The sequence below is a fragment of the Homo sapiens genome, chromosome 5 (assembly GCF_000001405.40).
Source record: "Homo sapiens chromosome 5, GRCh38.p14 Primary Assembly".
In the NCBI taxonomy this organism is placed as follows: domain Eukaryota; kingdom Metazoa; phylum Chordata; class Mammalia; order Primates; family Hominidae; genus Homo; species Homo sapiens.
This window is the reverse complement of record NC_000005.10, coordinates 167,986,857-168,005,634: the sequence shown is the minus strand read 5'-3', so window position 1 is coordinate 168,005,634 and position 18,778 is coordinate 167,986,857. Positions and strand designations below refer to the sequence as shown.

Here is an 18,778-nt window from a genome sequence, read left to right as displayed (position 1 = left end):
TCCTACTGTATAACTGCCCTGGTAAGTGACTTTTGAAGGGCATGATAACAAGCCAAGAGCCACTTTAGTCCAATCTGGGTATCTTCTCAATCAGCTGGTTTTTTGGTTTTGTTGCTTTGTGGAATTGTGGGAGACACAGGTACGATAAAGTTTTTGGGGAGGGGTGAGACAGTGGTAGTGTGTTATGAATAAAGAATTACAAAGGGCGTGGGCAAAATTAGCAAGGTATTCAGACATGCAATTAAAGAGTTCAGACTTGGCTTTCGTGTGATCTCTGTATTTTTTTTCATGTTTTGACAGCATTCTCCCTGGGTGGGGTCCACAGCTTGTTTAAGAAATCCCTTAGTCATACAAACACGACAGACAGCTCTTTTTCTTCCTTCAAGATGCATTTAGTCACAGATCATTTCATTGTATCCACTCTCCTATTTACCTTTGGCATAAAACAAGCCATCGGTGTTTCACTACAATATGGATATCACTGTGGGTCAGCTGACCTTTCCGAAAGGCTTAATTCCTGATAGTTTTGAAGAAAAGAATACAACACCATGCAATCAGCACTCACATCCCCAGAAAAGAAATACAGACACTTTCTCCCAGACATGGCAGAGTTCATGAGACCTTAGGCAGCACCTTTACCCAACAACCTTCCACCCAAAGAAGCGAGGGTGGAGATGGGGATGAGGGGATGGGGACAAGAGTCAGAAAAAAATCACAGATCCACAGACTGGTAAGTTTTTTAAAAGCCTAAAATGAAATTAACTTTATTATTGTTTTGTATTATGTATATGACTTAAAAAAAATTAACCGTGACAGAGCAGGATAAATCTGGATTTCCCCCAAGGCGATTTAAAGGTGCAGTGTATAGGGTAGGAGAGAGGAGGAAAAAGAAACGGTGGCATCCATATCTGTGCAAATGCAAACACTGTGAAAGATTAAATCTTTGGAAGCAGGACTAGAAGTTGGTTTCCTGAAAGTCAAACCAAATCCATCCGTCCAGATACTTTATTAAGATGTGCACATATTAAAAGAGGTTTCTGATTGGCATTTTTGAAGCAGGGTCAGCGGGGATAGTGGTGTGTGTGTGTGTGTGTGTGTGTGTGTGTGTGTGTGTGTGCGCGCGCGCGCATGCGTGCATCCCAAATGGGGGCTGACCTCCCTTCCCTTCTCTTTCACTGCTCCACTCCCAAGTCCCCACTACCACTAGCCATGGCCTCAGCATATCTATGTCCTGGTCTAGACCAGACCCTGTTCCACTGGGATTAAGAGACTCTCCCAAGTGCAGGCAGTTCATAAATCCACAGAATTTGATTGGGAACTAACATTGCAGGGTAATCTAAAATATCACTACTGGATCTTTCTTCACACTATGAAGTTAGGCAAAATAAGGCATGGGAAGGGTCTGGTATAAAATAATTCTCCCTTATGTAGATTTTTTTACAAATCAGGATTGAAAAGAAGACGTTCATGAATGCCCTCACTTGATTAAAAAATAAATAGACTTGCTCTCTGGCTTCAAGGATCATTCCAACGACAATACATTTGAAGACAAAGGCGATTTGGAACCCCCAACTTGCTATGGTCTCTGGAGAACCAACAGCCACATTCAGTCTTTCCATCTCTTACATCATTTTCAGTAGCAAGGGTTGTAGCTGAATTACGTGGAGATCAATTAGACACAACAGAAGATAAACCACCTCTAGTGCAAAGTGATTTTGTAGCATAAGTTGTTTCTCGAGGCCCTCCTTCATACTATACTTGAAATATAGATTGATGTTCGACATTAGACACATTACTCTCGTCTATTAGGCAAGAGTCCGCTGTGTCTATAAACTCAATTTCCTTTATCGTGGTAGCTTTCTGGTTTATTTGGATAAATGTTGAGCTGCCCACTGTTGTTTATCTAAGTAGTTCATGAGGGGACCAAAAGTTTAATGATGTAAGATGAGGTGGCGAAACAGCACCTCCAAGCAATTCACAACGATTGCTTTTCATCTCATTACCTTGGTTGGACTTATAGGTTCAAGAAATTGTGCAGAAGATATTTGTAATTTGGTATGCTGGGTGCCATTTTCCCCTCCTATTTGTGTCCTTTAACTGTTCCATATTTTATCCCAATTGATGTATGGCATTTCCTAGTTTCTCTTGCTAGTTAATGCTTCTAATTACTCTATTCTCAGCATCTTATGCCTTTTTCTTACTTCTTGACTTAATTTCATCCCACCCTTTTTGGTATTAATTCCTCTTTCCTTGGCTCTTGACTCTTCACAGTTATGCCAGCTTTGGGGGTGTGTGTGTGTGTGTGTGTGTGTGTGTGTGTGTGTGTGTTTTTTCTTAAAAACTTTGTAATTTTAAACTCGGGAAAAGATAATGTCATCATTTGATTAAAACAGACTGGATAAAAATAGACACAAATGTCCTCAATTTCTTATTGTACATTGGTTAGACCCTTGTACATATCCAGGAAACAAAAAGGATGGCTAATCATTGATTTATACCAATCAGGTAATAAAAAGCTTTTTAGTATAAAAGCTTCTGTTCCCCTGATGGTCCTGGGAAAATGAAACTCAGATGCCTTCTATTGCTGCTGTGTGTGCCTGATTAACACCAGGACAGGAGATGCTCATGCAAAACACAACTTACCCCAGGCTTTTTAAACTTTCCTGGTAACTGTACTATTTCATTTGTTGCTTTTTGGGATCTGGATCCAGGAAAAAAATTTCAAGTAAAAATATCCTGGATATTAAGGCTGGCCTGCAGATTTCAGCACACAGTGCGACCAGCCAATCATATGCCAAAGTGAAATTTCTTGCCCAGTGGAAAAGCATTGAATGAATATACATGAACCTATTCAAGTACATTTAATAAACTGTAAATTAATTAACATAAAATTAATGTACAGAGTAACAAATATTTTCTTCACGGGAAAAAGAGTCTTAACTCATAATTCTCTCGAGATTCAGGAAGTCTACAAATCTTGTTACTAAAAGAAAGTTTAAACACACTACTCCAAATTTAGCTAATGTCCCAGAAGTCTGTTTGTAAAATTTGGTGCATAAGGCAGCCTTAAAACCAGTTTCAAAGATGCATCTAATTCAAAGGCACACTGAACTTCCTTGAAAGATGCCATCTTGTTTATCACGGCCTGAAGAACAGAATGCATTTGACACACTGCCACTGACCCTTCCCTGTGGAATATAAGCAAGTCTAATATAAACTTCATTAACGTGACTTTAAAATGCTCATGGTGTAATATAAGTAAGCAAACTGAGAGAATTGCATCATGACTGCAAAGGCAAAAGCAAGGTAATATGCCCTTCTTTTATAAAGACAGAGTCCCTAGGGGAGTGCCGAACATGTTTGCACGAATCTCCCCACAAATGACCTAACTCAAATGAAAACCCATCCCAAGGGAAGGGCCTTCCCTAACAACTGCAAAGAAAGTCATGATGAAAGAAATGTAAAGGTTGGAGGCAAAGCTTCTCCTCTCTTCTCATCCATGGCTTTGGTTTTTAGAAACAAACAAACAAAAAAAGCCTTTGAAAGATGACACATATTACATATCTTATAATTTTTTTCTCTTTCCCAGAAGGGAGGATAATATTTTCTTTAGTAAAACTCTTTTCTTACCAACATGTAGCTTAGTGCTGTTATATTTTCTGATACAGTGTGATATTTACTTATTAATGCCAGAAGGCTGATGATATAAAAAGTGAAATTAGCAGAACATGCAATGCATTATCTTCTTTTTTATGGTAATGATAAATGTGTTAATACAGTTGATGGACTATTTGCTCTCTGAATGCAGAGAATCTTATTATGAGGCATCAATTTAATAAATGACTTGTTTGATAAGAGAAGGGCTCAGGCAAAAATTCTGGGTGTCTATTCTTAACAATCAAAACATGAATTTTCTATAAAAGAATTTTCAATGTGGGACACAAAAAAGTCTGGTTTTAGGTGACCTTAAAAGAAACATGTATGTTTTAGAAGTTTGCTTTGGGTTAGGTTTCTGTTGTATGAGGCCATGTAGCTAAGCAAGGCATTTCAGAGCACAAAAGATTCTGTGTGGGTTGTGTACAGAGACCTAATTTACCATATAATAGTTCTTTTCTCTACTCGGTGCCTTGTAGCGATTGCTTTCTTTTCTTAGTACATCCTCATTTACAGAGAAATAGCCAACAGACTTTTAGATTTATGCCATTATTTGCTTCTTCACCTTGAACTCCAAGTAAATTCTGCTACACTTTTGTAATATCAGTGCCAAATGATGGCCTTATGCCAGATACAAACACTTCCCAGTTTCTCTCAGTCAGTTCTCTCGATTTCAGGGAATCACAGATTCCTGCTAGAGGGCTTAAATGTGGTGCTTACATGGCCCCCTAACCATTCCTTTGCCTAAGTGCTTTCTAACTCAGAAGTGCAATTTGGGAACGGAGGCAATTACCACATCAAGAAACCAAAAACCTCCCCTTACATAGGGGAACAGTGAAGCTAGGGATCAAGGATTCTGGGTATTTGGAAAACACCTTCCACAACTGGTACAACTCAGATGTAACCCTAATCAGCATTCATGAGTTCAACAAATATGTACTGATTGCCTACAAAGCGCTGGGCAGTGCAGGTCACTATTTTGGGCATACTCTTCTCATTGGACCTGGCATGCAGTCCAATGCAGGTCTCATTGGACCTGGTGTGCAGTGGCTAGTACAATGATCACCATAGCTCCATTTAGTTGAGCTTCTATTGTGTGCCAGGTACCACCATGTTCCACTGACTATAAGATTCAGAATTTTTTAAATATTTCCACAAGTCTGGAATCAGAATGCACCTTATAATTGGTGTTGTATTACAGGGCCTTTGTGACCACGGACCTACCTATTCACATGGTTGTTACATCAATCTATCGTGCCTGTGCCTATCTCTTTCCAAATATATAAAATAAAAATTACAAATGCTAAGAAATCATGGCATAGTTTAATTGACAACCTCTTTCCCTCTTAGGGATGCACAATGATGGCATTTCTCATAATTGATGACATTGGATTTGAAGAAGAGTTGCATGCATCTACCATTTCAATGAATGCTTGAGGCATGTTTACAAAGTAGGAATTCTCCTCATTTTTCTGATGAGGAAACTAAGGTGCAGAGATTTTAAATAGCAAGCCCATCATCACATGGACTTTATGTATACAGGCCAGACTTCAAACACAGCCCTCTCTGACACCAAAGTCCATGTATGTGCTTTCTACGACATCAAGCTGCTTCTTGTCTAACTACCAAGGCAAAGCAAGAACTTGAAATTGTGTTCCAGATAAAACATAGAATGAAATAACACTAATTTACAGTCCATTAGAAGTTGTGTCAGAATCCTCAATCAGGAAACCCCAAGCACAAATCAATGAACCAACGAAAGATGTCAGAAATGGAGAATTTAAAAGCACACTGTGGAAGCTGAAGGGCCTGTTGGCTTGGCCACCACCCAAAGGAATCCAGTCAAATAAGTAGGGTGTGTGAAGAAGTCAACACTGATGTTCTAGCATTCTATTACTGCTTCTGGATGGATGACTGCTAGAGAGATCATCGTTATAGAGAGAAAGTCTAGGGCAAGGCTTGAATGGTGATTCAGGGATAGTAGGTGGAGAACTCTCCATATTCATTTACTCAATGTATACTCTGTGGAGGCACGAAGTCCTGGGCTGGCAGACGATACCATTGTTGTTTCCTTGGCATTCTTGAGGTGCACAGGGTTGTGGCACCTATCACTCCTCTCTGGCTCTGTATTACGATGTTCTACAAAGTCAGGACCAGAACCTGTTTCCTGGCTCTCATCACCAGCGTCTGCCCACAAGGGTGAGAAAGCCCTGCATGGGCCGACTATCCTGACTTCTGATGGGAATCTCGGAGAGGAAAGCAAAGGCATCTCCCGAGAGCTGCTGACCCTCCTGAAGCACTTCAAGTCCCCCAGATTGCACAAATATGTTTTTAAAGAGGCCACGTCCTCCTCCGAAGCAGAGGGATTCATTTTTTCTGAATGTCAAACACGAGGTACAAATATTGCCACATGGCCGCTAGGTGATGGAGACCTAGCTAATGAATGATGTAATTGTCTTCCCATAAATTGACAGGCCCTCTGAAATCAGATGTTCAGTTACGAAATGGCAGTCCCCCTGCCAAAGACTCACCAGTGTGTAAGCACTGACAGGACTTTATTATCAGGTTAAGAGCACATTAGCATATCTATTAGATAAGAAGTCTGCTACTAACACTGGCATAGATAATATGACTGGGTCCCCTGACTTACTTGTGGGCAGCTCTCTTTTTCTCAGTTTGACCATCTGGGCCCAGGGAGTTGGGTGGAAATGTTATTTGCTTGACTGTTCAGATTTAATCATTAGCATTTTGCCCTTTAGATGTGGGAGGTAAGTACACAACTTGGAATTCATACAGGAGGATGAGGTTTCCCATCTCTCCAGATAGTCAAAGAGCAGTGAGTTGGAATGAGAGGGCTGACATTTTTCCTAGTCTGCGCCCCCACAAAAGATGCCAGGCAAGTGTACCATTCTCATCATTTTCTGTCATTTTCTTTATGTTTTCTCCAAACCTGCTCTGTTCAGTGAGATGAGAATACACAAAATAGCAGCAGAGAACGCAAGATTCATCAGCGTGAGTCTCAACATATCAATTTTCAAGTGTAGCAACTTTAAACACATGGTAGGCTTTTAGTTTCCATAGAAAATAATCTCTCATTGTTTTCAAAAGAAACTGAAAGCACCCCAAATTACCACACTTTTAACATCCTGACATGTTGATGGCCCGCGTTCTTTCCAGATCAAAGTCAGAGTGGCAGAAGACAGAGTGTTGAGCAGCTAACTTCAAACATAGTATTTCACATTTGGCAGGAATTACTGTAGTGAAAAAAGACAAGGTGACTTTCTAATATATATATATGTATTTTAGTTTGGCAGAGATCTGAAGAGCTAAGAACTAATTTAGGATGACATAAATGCTCTTATCTTTCTCTCTCCTGCCTTCCCTTACCAACCCCGTGAAGTGTCTTTGGCAGAAGCTCAGTGTATGTTGCGTATTGTTTTAGCTCAGGGGTGACAGTCTGAGTCCCATGTCATGCCGAACTCTTGTGTTGACTCTCGCCTTAGAATTTCTAAGATTATCTGGAGTTAAACAACAGAGTCACACATGAGAAGCATCTTTCTTCCTTGATGTGGGGTAGCCCTGCAAGAACTTCGATGCCTTTTAAGGAAACTAGATCTATTCCAATGTTAACCTAGGACAAGAAAGCAATGATGTCATTCCATGACACAGCATCATTACAATCTGTTGGAAAACCTCAACAACGAAGGCATCAGAAACTGAGTAACTTCTAAAAACAGGTGATAATTTTCCAGAGGAACCTGGGATAATCAAAGATTGAGGACAAATGAGTACTAGGCAAAATGGCCAGGCAATTCCACTCTATCCATGGATTGGAGCACTGTTTCAAGCAGTCTAGTTAAAAGCTATGCTTTCATGATGAAGTGTCCTAAAATTCCTAAAATTTTCCTTGGAAAAATTTATCCTATAGAAAGTATTTAAAGAGAAAAGTGACTTGCTTTTTCTACTTTTTGGTTTGGGCCAGAAAGTCAGATGCAATTACTCATTGTGAAATGGAGTTGCAGTATCAGAAAATGTCAGTCACCTGCTTCATTGACAGTGGACATATGGTTGGACTCTTAGCCAGTTGGGAAGCAATTTTTTGTAATAGAGATGTGGACAACCTGAAAGGTATTCTTAGGAAATAAGCTGTAATGTAATCAAACAAGGGTTGACAAACTATGGCCTGCGGACCAAATCCAGGCTGCCACCTGTTTTTGCATGGCACATAATCTAAACAATGGGTTTACATTCTAATGGCTGAAATTTTTTAAAAAGAAAATAATATTTCATAACACATAAAAATTACATTAAACTAAAAAACCAGGGGGCATAATTAAAATTTTATGGGTGCACAGCCATACCTGTTCATTTACACACCGTCTATGGCTGTTTTTAACTTACAACAGCAGAGTTAACCAGCTGTCACTAAGTAGCACATGAACCAAAAATATTTAGTCTCCAACTTTTTGCAGAAAATGTTTGCTGACCTCTATAACACAAGACAACTGGAAAGCAGAAATATGAGGACTGATTATAATACTGCGGAGGGGCTATAGTTTCTATCCACTGCGTTAGAAGATGATTCAGGAAGCAGGAACCAACTACTCTACCTTGCTAAAGAGGATAGAGCTAGATAAGGTGAGTTAATGCTATCAACGGGATCATTTATTTCAGTTTCATACAGTATGTGAGAAACTGGTTAACTGCAATCTTGAGGAGAAAGAAGTGAAGAGAAAGACCTTCAAGGAGACATCAAGAGACCAAGGGCCTAGTGCTCGCCCTGCAACTATCTACCTAGGCCAGGAGACTTTAGACTCTCTGGGCCTCGGTGTCAGTGCTTGTCAAATGATTGTAATATGCAGATTTTATTTTCTGCTAGAGTGTTGGTTGACGACTGGGGATATGATTCAAATTGAATAGTTGTATAAAAGTGCTTCAAATGGGCTGGGTGTGGTGGCTCATGGCTGTAATTCTAGCACTTTGGGAGGCTGAGGTGGGTAGATGACTTGAGGCCAGGAGTTTGAGAGCAGCCTGGCCAACATGGCAAAACCCTGTCTCTACTAAAAACACAAAAATTAGCCGGGTGTGGTGGTGCAGGTCTGTAATCTCAGCTACTTGGGAGGCTGAGGCACGAGAATCACTTGAACCCGGGAGGCAGAGGTTGCAGTGAGCCGAGATCATGCTACTGCACTCCAGCCTGGGCACCTGGACAATGGAGTGAGGCTCTGTCTCAAAAACAAACAAACAAACAAACAAACAAAAAGTGATTCAAATGGAAATGCTTCTAGTTCTAAACAGGTAGAAGGTTCTAACTAGTGATTGTTATGCATACTATCAAGATAACACAATACATCTTGTCTAAAATAGGTGAGGTTGGTAATAAAATACTTTGGTTACATGATTCAGAAACTTAGGGACTTCTGGTGGTGCAGGTAATGAAAGTACCTGAGCTGCCTGAAGAAGAAAGACACCTTCCTGAGAGGAAAGTCTCTTGCATTTCACAGAAAAATTCTCCTAAACCAGTATTCCCTAGGAATTGTTTGTGCCAGGGCCTGAGTGATGCACAAAGTGGTCCCCTGGTGGTTTATTCAGCTTTCCAGAGTAATTTATTCCAGGATGTTTGTACGCTGAGAGAATTTGGCACAGAGAGGGTCTGATGGAGGAGCAGATCATAAAAGTTCTCTGACCCCAGCTGTGTGGGTAGGAACTGGGCATCTCTGCTGAGCTCGTAAAGACCTGGGTCATCTAGTTTGCACAGGGCTGGCATTCTGCTTTTACACCCGCCCACGGGCCTGGATCTATGGAAGAACTTGTCAGGGGGCCGAGCAATGTCCAAACTGCTCATTTCTGGAAAGTCTTCTTTCTTCGGGTTTGAACACGCAAGGATGATAATTTGACTTATTTGTCACGGTGCCTGGCAGGCCTGAACCCACTGCCTGCCCATAAAGGTCCTGGGGCTGATGCATCAATTTCAGGACCTGTCATGTTCTAGTGGAATGCAGAGTCATGTGTGAACCAGAATGGACTCAGCCCTTAAAAGCGCCGGTCTCCTTAACAGGAGGGCCTCGGTTTTCATGTTGTCTTTCTGCCCTTCCCTGATGGCTTGTTTCCCAGGTGGGCACAATCATTGGTTCTCCAAAAGGCACTTTTCTCTGTGTTTGCAATGCACTGTTTATGCCCCTGCAGCTCTGTAAGTAATAATATACTGCTTTTCATCTTCAAAGTGATTTATACACATTAATTAATCCTCACCATACTTCTGAGTTTCTGCACGTAAATAACCATCCTGCCCCCATGTTGTACTTAGGAAACCAAGACCCAGAAGGCAAACAAGTTTGTCAAGGCTAAGGAGAAAGGAATAACTGGGGCCAAGATCAGCACTTCAGATCCTGACCCCTTACCACGCTTGCAGACCTGCGGTCACCTCGGGAGAGTGGCTGAGAGTAGCCCTATAGCTGCATGCTCACTGCCATCACTGCAGGGTAAATTGGCCCATTATATCACTCATTTTGTGTCATAAACTATTTTTTGATACTCTAGGGTCAAAGCATAATCTTACCTAAAGAATACATAATAGGAAATGATGGATTATGAACTAATAAACGATGCTAAGATGCTCAGGTCCAGCTTCTAGCAGCCTGCAGATTGAAAATAAATATATTTCCTAATCTATCATTTACAAGTTACATACCTGATTAAAACATTAAACTCTCACTATACGGTTTCCCATGTATATGACTGCCCTTACAGGAAGCTATTCTACTTTAACTATCAAGCCCCATAAATCAGGCAGGAGCCATCTGTCTCTCTCCTGGAAGTAGAGTAGAAGGCGCACTGGGACGGTATTGGCAGAGGCAGGCAGTACCTCAATTTCTGTATCTGGGCTCCCCGTGGTGCTCACTGGCCCCGTGGTGCTCACTGGCCCCGCAGAACATTAAGCCTGAGAAGTGAGCACAGGAACCCCTTCTGAAGTTTCTGACACAAAACCAAATCATGAAAAGACCCCGAAGGCACATTCAATTTGCTTCCACGGAGCCCCCTGAACAGCCACCTGCAGAAGCACACAAAGCTACTTTAGCAACACACTAAGATGTACTCAAGAGATTCAGAGGGGCAACAGATATCCTTCCGCCTTTCTGAGGTCAATCCATTACTTCATCCTTCATCAAGAGGTAAGTGAGAAGCAGACATGACTCGAAATTAGGGGTGCTTGGGTCTCAGGCCTCAGTTCCCGTGTACAGCTGTGGTTTAGAGTGCAAGCTACACTTCTGCAAAGCCCCAGATGAACACGGCACCTTTCCCTGGAGAGTCAGTTTTCTCACTTTGGGAGGGCATTCCTGAGAAATGCAACTGGTAAGGAATATAAATGCTTATTTTTCCATATTAAGACAAGAACAGCTATAGTGTGGAAGAAGCTGAAAAATTTATGTCAATTGTTGGCTCATATTGGTCTGCCTTAGGCAGGGCCCCAGATCTGTGGGGGTGCACAGTCATGCCCCTTTGCCATCAGGCAAGCTTAGGAGAATGGTCTGGGAAGCGCTGGGCCAGTTCCTTCTTTGGCAGATACCATGCTTGCTGCCTGGGGATGAAGGAAGTGTGGGAGCCCCCAGTGCTGAGCGAGAAGGGAGGGTTTATGTTGAGGGAAGGGGCAAGGCCAACACAGTCAGGGTTGCCTTTTCTTTTCTCTTAAATGGGAGGAGTTTCAGCATACGTGTTGGGAACTGTTTTGGAGTCAGCTTCATTGAGCTGGTGCTTTATGGGTTTGCTTTGCAACATGGCACAGCCAAACTGGGCAGGTCTCTCATAGCTGCCCTGAAACCAAGCCACAAGCATCAAGTGTTTCAAATAAACTTTAACAAACATCACCATGGCCTCTTCCTAAGCCAGGAGATCTGCCTTTGGCAGGCTTAACTGACAGAGCAGCAGCCTTGGGGCTCTTTGTTGGGGCCAGGAGCTGTGAGCAGGCTTTGTGTGCAGCCTGAGAAGCTCTTATGCACGTGGCACCCTGCCCCTGGGCGCTCAGCATCTGCCACTTTCTGTGGTGACACGGCTACACCCTATGGCTGTAAACCAACACCTTTGGCATGCAGAGAAAGATACTCCAGCAACTTCACCTATGTCATACACTGAGTCACCAGAAGCCCAGTTGCCAGGAGAGGTGACCCTGATTCAGATTCAGCTGTCCATGGTGAGGAGAGAGTTGAGGATGAGAAGACAGAGGCTGTGGAAGGGATATGGGCAAGGCCAAGTGTGTCTGGCTAATTCGATTCTGTATAAAGACCTGGATGGATGCTCCAGCCTGTCAGTCCTGTTTCTGTTCCACAGCTCTGAAAATAAGCTAGCTACTTTGGCTTTCTCTCGAATCAAGATGTTCTCAGACATGCCAACCACTATTCTTCAATTCAGTTTTTGGCTGAAGTTAACCAATGTTGCATACATTTCAAAGCACAGACCTGGGTTAAAATCCAAGGATGGAGAAAACTAGAAGGCCACTCTGAGAGTGAGGGATAGGTTTGCGGGAATGAAAAGTCTCAGCTCATCTCCAAGAAAGGATATAGTAAGGATGCTTAATTTCCCTTCTGATGGATGTCATTTAGAAACATGAAGGAGAAACTCATCAGATTTAAGTGGATTTCAGGAGGGAAAAAATCACCTCCATCCATCACTCATTATCACATCTTTCAGGAGCAAAGAAGCAAACTGTACAGACATCAGAGGGCCTCTAGATTCACAAGTCCATGGCCTCTCCCCTCATGTTGTCATCCCCAGCGTTGCTGAATAAGGCTGCCCTGACTTACCTATGAAATACGCCAGCAAAATAGCCAAGAGGAGGGCCGCGGCAATGGCGGAGAGGGCAGCACATTTCCAGCTGCAGTATTTGGAGGGCTTCTTCAGCTTGAAAGCCTTCCTGGAGAAAGTATTCCTGGGCAGCAGGCGGGGCGGGGGCGTGTAAACCGTTCCTGAGGTCAAAGGGTATCCCGGGGAAGAGCTGCTGAACAAGGGTGTGCTCCCCGAGGAGGTCTTGAAGAGGAAGTGCCTGCCAGGAAAAGGGAAAGAGTCAGAGTGGTCATGGGTAGCCAAGGAGCAACATTTAGCTATTTTTCTTCCACTCTGCTCTATCTAGTCCTAGCATAATCCTAGTTAACTAAGCTTACCCTGGAGTGGAAGAAGGGGCGAACATTACATTCGATGATGACATAAATTAATTCCATAAATGTGCATAATTTGCTCCTTTCACATATGCATCTAGTTGTTATCTTCCACAACAACCTGCAAAGCATTCAAAGCAAATATGGAAACTGAATGACTGTCACCTCCTCAGAGATGATGAGGTTGAGGATGCTAAGTGTTATCACATATTAGATACCTACTATTTTTTAAAAAAACTTTTATTTTGGGTTCATGGTACATGTGCAGTTTGTTATATAGGTATACTCGTGTCACTGGCATTTGATGTACAGATTATTTTGTCACCCAGGTAAAGATAATGTGCTATACATACACCGTGGAATATTATGCAACCATGAAAATAATGAGATGGTGTCCTTTGCAGGAACATGGATAGAGCTAGATACCTACTATTGAAAGGTACTTGAAATGTATTGTCACAACTATTTACAAACTAAATATTTTAATATCTCGATTTCATTTCATTATTTTTTAAAATTTTTAATTTTTTCTTTCTGTAATCCAGATATATTCTTTTTTTTAATTTCAATAGTTTTGGGGGTACAGGTGTTTTCTGATTACATGAACAAGTTCTTTAGTGGTGATTTCTGAGATTTTGGTCCACCTGTCATCAGAGCAGTGTCCACTATACCTAATATGTAGTCTTTTATTCCTCGCCCCCTCCACCGTTCCTTCCAAGTCCCCAAAGTTTATTATATTATTCTTATGCCTTTGCATCCTCATAGCTTAGCTCCCACTTATAAGTGAGAACATATGATGTTTGGTTTTCCGTTCCTGAGTTACTTCACTTAGAACAATGGCCTCCAGCTCCATCCAAGTTGCTGCAAAAGCCATTATTTCATTCCATTTTTATGGCAGAATCTCTCCATTTTAGATTGGAGATATTAGCCTTTGAGAAGCCAAGCAACTGTCTGAGGACTGAAACCCAGAGCTCTGTCTTTCGATAAAACCTGTGTACTGACATTTTACCCTACACTGTCTCTGACCCTTGTTCCGTTTTCACCTCCCGTGAAATCCTGATTCCTGTTCTGAGATGCCTTCTCCAAGGTCATGTGATCATGATTATTTCTTTGGAATCATCTTTGCCTATCAATTGAATAAGGTGTCCGTGTTAGCCAGAGCTGTGGTGTGACAACCACACAGCAGAACCATACAGTAGAACAGGCAGTGTAGAAGAGGATATAGCTCCTCCTCAGGGTCGGGAGTCTGTCGCTCCAAGGGCACTTTAAGGAAGGACCATTAATTCTCTGATGATTCTTTCTTATACATGCCACTTACAAGACTTCAAATGTGACTTGCTAGACCTTGTTTAAAACGATGACTTGTCTTCCAGGAAATGTGTAGTGGGATTTAAGGCAGGAGTTAAGTAAATGCTAGAATCTGAGCAGCTGGAGGCCATGGACTATGTCTTATTTTGTACCTTGTTCGTCCTATGTTCCCAGTACCCACATCAAGCCCAACATGCAGAGGGGGATTTTAGTGAATGAATGAGTGAATGAATGAAGTCCTCTCATTGTCTTGCAATTTTACTCAGCTGCAATTCTAAGGTTTCAAAATGTTACTACAGTTATTTCCTTTCTCTTGATGTCTTCAGTAGGTGCTACTTAGTTTATTGACCACTCACAATGTGTCAGTTACAATGCTGAATGTTTTACTTGCAACTAAACCTCACATTAATCCCACCAGGTGGGTACTATTATTACCTCAGTTTTACAGATGAGAAAACTGACGCTGGGAGTTGGCAAGCGGGTCATTAGGGCTCAAGCTCCAGTCTGCCTGACTTAAAAAATTTTTTTATTTACATCCAGTTAGACCCTTTGGAAGCTCTAATCAGACCTACTACACCACACTGCCTTGCCTCTGGGGGCTAGCAGGCTTTCCCAGTGGGCTTCTAAGGCAGGATTGCTATCATTACAAATATTTGTATCTTGGCTGTTTGCAGATAAAACCTTGAAAGTATTTTAATCCTTCACAGAGATCAAACAAACCCAATATGACTGACAATCATGTCAGAAAATGAGTATCTGATTAGTGAATTATTTAACACAGCTAATGTTAAAATAAAGCCTAGAAGTTTGATTCCATAAATAAGGCTTTGGACTCCTTGTCCAATGGCTCTTTTTTAATGCTCCATTTTAAAATGGTGTTTTGGAAGAGGAAGCTAGGCATGGTGTTCATGACAGCATTGTAGCACAAGACAGACCTTGGTAGTCCTGGTCGTGCCATTTCTGACAAGTACCTGACACTGCTTTTGAGAACCTCCATCTCTTCATTTGTAAAACAGAGGTAATAAAAGTACAGGTACCTCATAACTGCTTGCTGTGAGGATTGCAACACTGTGTAGGAAAAGCATCACTAATCCTACAATATCATGCAGGATTACGTAGCAAAAGAACTTAACCAAGGTGTGTCCCATAGTAAGTGTCAGCCCATGTGAGTAGCTTTTATTATTAATTCTTCAGAGCTACATAAGGAGCCTGAAATGCAGATTTTAATTTAAAGCTTGACAAATGTTGAACAAACACCTGAAGAGTTCTCTAAGTCACTAAATAATAGTCTGCTGCCTTATAACAACGCTAGAACATATCCACAGCAGAAAGCCAGGGTGACAGAGAAACCTCGGAATTTGATTTAGGAGTCCTCCGAATTTATTTCTTAAATGATTCTCCCAGAGTGAGTAGTGAAAATAGGAAATCAAATGAAAACAAAGGAACGTAAAGGCATTGTAAGGAGTCACTAATGAGTGAAAACATTTGAACTCCAGTTCTCGCATCCTCAGTGATCTTGCCAATTTCTAGGTCTTCAGCCACCACTGATGGGTCTGGAGTCTCCAAAGCTCCATTTCTATCTAGCTCATGACTCCTTAGCTCCTGACCCACATCCCGTTGTGCATTGGGCAGCTTGTCTTCTACATTTCACAGCTGTCTGGAACAAGTCACAACCAAACTCAGACTATATTCCTTTACATGCCCAACTCCACCCCTCCTGGACTTCCTTTACTCCCAGTTACCCAAGGAACTTCCTCCTTTTCCCTTGCCTTTCCCCATCCAATAGCTTAATGAATCCCAACAATTTCATTTCTGAAAACCTTACCCACCAACCCCGTCCTTTAGCCTTCCTGCCTTTTCCTTCCCAAGCCACAGTGCCAGTGTGCTCTGGCTTGCAAATCCGTGGTTATCCTTCCATGCCTGAAAGATGAGACCTAAGTTTCAACATGGAACCAAGCTCTCTACAACATGGAACCATGGCTCTCTACCCATTTTTTGACCCTTGTTTCTAATCAGTGCTCCCAGCTCCTATGCACTCACGCTTCAGCCACACAAAAAGACACACTTTGTCTTAACAAGCCCGTTCAATTGAATCAAATGGCTTTTTCTTCTCTGTCCCACCTAACCCATCCTAGCTAACTCCTATCCACCTTCCAACCACCTACCTGGGGAATCTATTCTAACACAGCCCCCTTCATTTTGTGCACTCACAAATCTATCTATCTCTCTCTCTCTCTCTCTCTCTCTCTCTCTCTTTCTCTATCTTCTATCTATCTATCTACATTCTATTTATAAATAGAATCTTATTTCTCCCATGATACAGTTATATCCTGGTGTTATTAATCTCTTTCTATATATAATTATTTTAAATGTGTCTATCCCCAACCAGAATGTGAACTCCTGGACACTTGAACTGGTAGATATTCCTTACTCCTGTTATCTCCAGAGTCGAAACATTAGTGCCTGGACATCAGTCATATTTGTGGACAGAATAAATAACTTGAAAATAGAAATGTTTTAGCAACATGAGAGCAACACGGTAAAGATAAGAAGTTTAAATTGGCTTTAATGTTATTTTTAATACACTCATTTATACGAAAAATGGATATGATTATATCTTGCATATGGCACTGCTTCGTGAAATCCTAAAAATGTTCCCTTGACAATTTAGTCCATTTTCTACACTTTCTTCTAAAAATAAAGTCAGCTTAGGTCACATGTCATCAAACAAAGCGCCCTTTCTCCCTGACAAAGGCTTCTAATAATATTGAGAATAAAATCAGGTGTCTTTCTCATGGCCTTCAACTCTCTGCATGATCTGCCCTCTGGCTACCTCTCCCACTGAAGCTTCCACCTCTGTTGTCCTCCCTCACTCCATCCATCATATTATCCTTTTGCTATTGCCCATCATATCACATCTTCTTGCCTCCGGGCCTTTGCACTTACTGTTCCTTCTGCCTGGAAATATCTGCACAACTTGTTCCTTCAATCTCTGCTCTCATAGCACTTTTTCAGAGAGATCTTCCTGGGCCCCTTCAATTTCTGTTACTCTCTGCCCTGTCATAACTGCCTATTTTTCTTCATTAAATGCATATGTATATTTGCATATTACTTATTGTCTGTCCCCATCGTTAGAACTGAATTTCAATAAAGTTTAAAATAATTATTTTGTTCACGCCGCATCCTGTCACCTAAAATAGAGCCTGGCTTACAGTGGGGGAACTCAACAAATCGTTGTTAAATAAATAACTTACAACCTTTTCCAAGACCAAAATAATGAATGCTAAAAGAATAGTGCTGTGAACATTTTTAATTTTAAAATAGGCTCCTCCTGCCGTGTTGATGCCTGTTTGCCAAACAGATTTACAAGTTTGCATATGTACATGCAGGCAAGAGTCTATATTTACACATGCAAGGCCAGATCCCTCCACAGAAAAAACAACCTGCATGCTTTTCAGCACTGCATAAACCCTCGCAGGATGTAGCTCTCAGGCCGCTCATTGGCACTGTGGTGTCTGTGATGATTGCAGCTGAAAGAAACCCATTTAGTTATCACCTCCCTTCCTTCTAGTCTCTGGGGTTTAAAATGATTAAACAAAAAACCAACGATAAGTAGAATCCTATTTCTCCCATGATACAGTTACACCCTGGTGTCACTAATCTTTAGAAGATTAAATTCAGCAAACAAAAAGAGAAAGATTCGATAGAAGTGATCTTCAGACTGTGTCCCATGAATACCTGGAATTTGTACTGTTTTTAACACAGCACTCAAGTGATCGCCTGGTCCCAGGAATTTGTACTGTTTTTAACGCGGCACTCAGTGTTAAAAACAGTACAAAATCCTGGGCCCTATCCAGGTATGGGGTGGAGTCTGGGAGTATATCGATTAAGAAGCTCCCTAGTGGCTGGGCATGGTGGCTCATGCCTGTAATCCCAGGACTTTGGGAGGCCGAGGCAGGCGAATCATTTGAGGTCAGGGGTTCGAGACCAGCCTGGCCAAACCCCATCTCTATTAAAAATACAAAAAAAGTAGCCAGGTGTGGTGGTGGGCACCTGTAATCCCACCTACTTGGGAGGCAGAGGCAGGAGAATCACTTGAACCCAGGAGGCAGAGGTTGCAGTGAGCTGAGACCGTGCCATTGCGCTCCAGCCTGGGCAACAAGAAGGAAACTCCAACTAAAAAAAAAAAAAGGAAGCGAAGAAGCTCCCTAGCTGATTCTAGTGTACATTAACATTTAAGAAATTCTACCTGAATCACTTTTATGCCCTTCCAAATGCATCTTACTTGAAGAGGACATACCAGATTGTTAGTAGATATATATTTTTTAATGTAAGCTTTGGATGTGGGCGTCTTTAGGTGAAGTTTCATGAAGTCTGCAACTTCATTTCAAAAGATTCAGCAAAAAGATCTCATCTCTCAAGCTCTATAAAAACAGATAAGGCAAATGTGGCAAAATGATAGCAATCGTTGAAACCAGGTGGTTATTCTTACATGGTACTATTCTTCCAAGTTTTTTGTATGTTTGAAATTTTTCATAACAAAAAGTTGAAAAAACCTCAAGCTTTGATTCACCCAAGGATTTCAGTCACATGCTGCTGGAAAATCAAATAAAATGAAGCAAGACCCACAAGGTAATGGTTTGGCCAGATGGTCACAGGGAGGACCA

General features: G+C 41.6%; 1 protein-coding gene across 33 annotated transcripts in view, besides 1 other annotated feature; it reads right to left on the bottom strand.

Moving 5' to 3' along the window:
• Positions 1-18,778, bottom strand: part of TENM2 (teneurin transmembrane protein 2) — a 1,285,129-nt gene that overhangs the window by 258,523 nt on the left and 1,007,828 nt on the right. For all 33 annotated transcript variants that reach the window (XM_047417418.1, NM_001395460.1, XM_017009661.2 and 30 more), the window contains one exon: positions 12,453-12,691. In XM_047417418.1, the coding sequence (XP_047273374.1) occupies positions 12,453-12,691 (239 nt within the window). The remainder of the gene's footprint in view (positions 1-12,452; positions 12,692-18,778) is intronic.
• Positions 11,372-11,873: an enhancer, noted in NCBI's record as "H3K27ac hESC enhancer chr5:167420767-167421268 (GRCh37/hg19 assembly coordinates)". NCBI's record gives its function as "activates a minimal SCP1, AML or CMV promoter by ChIP-STARR-seq in primed H9 embryonic stem cells {active_cell/tissue: H9 hESC(primed)}" and the evidence as "EXISTENCE:reporter gene assay evidence [ECO:0000049][PMID:30033119]".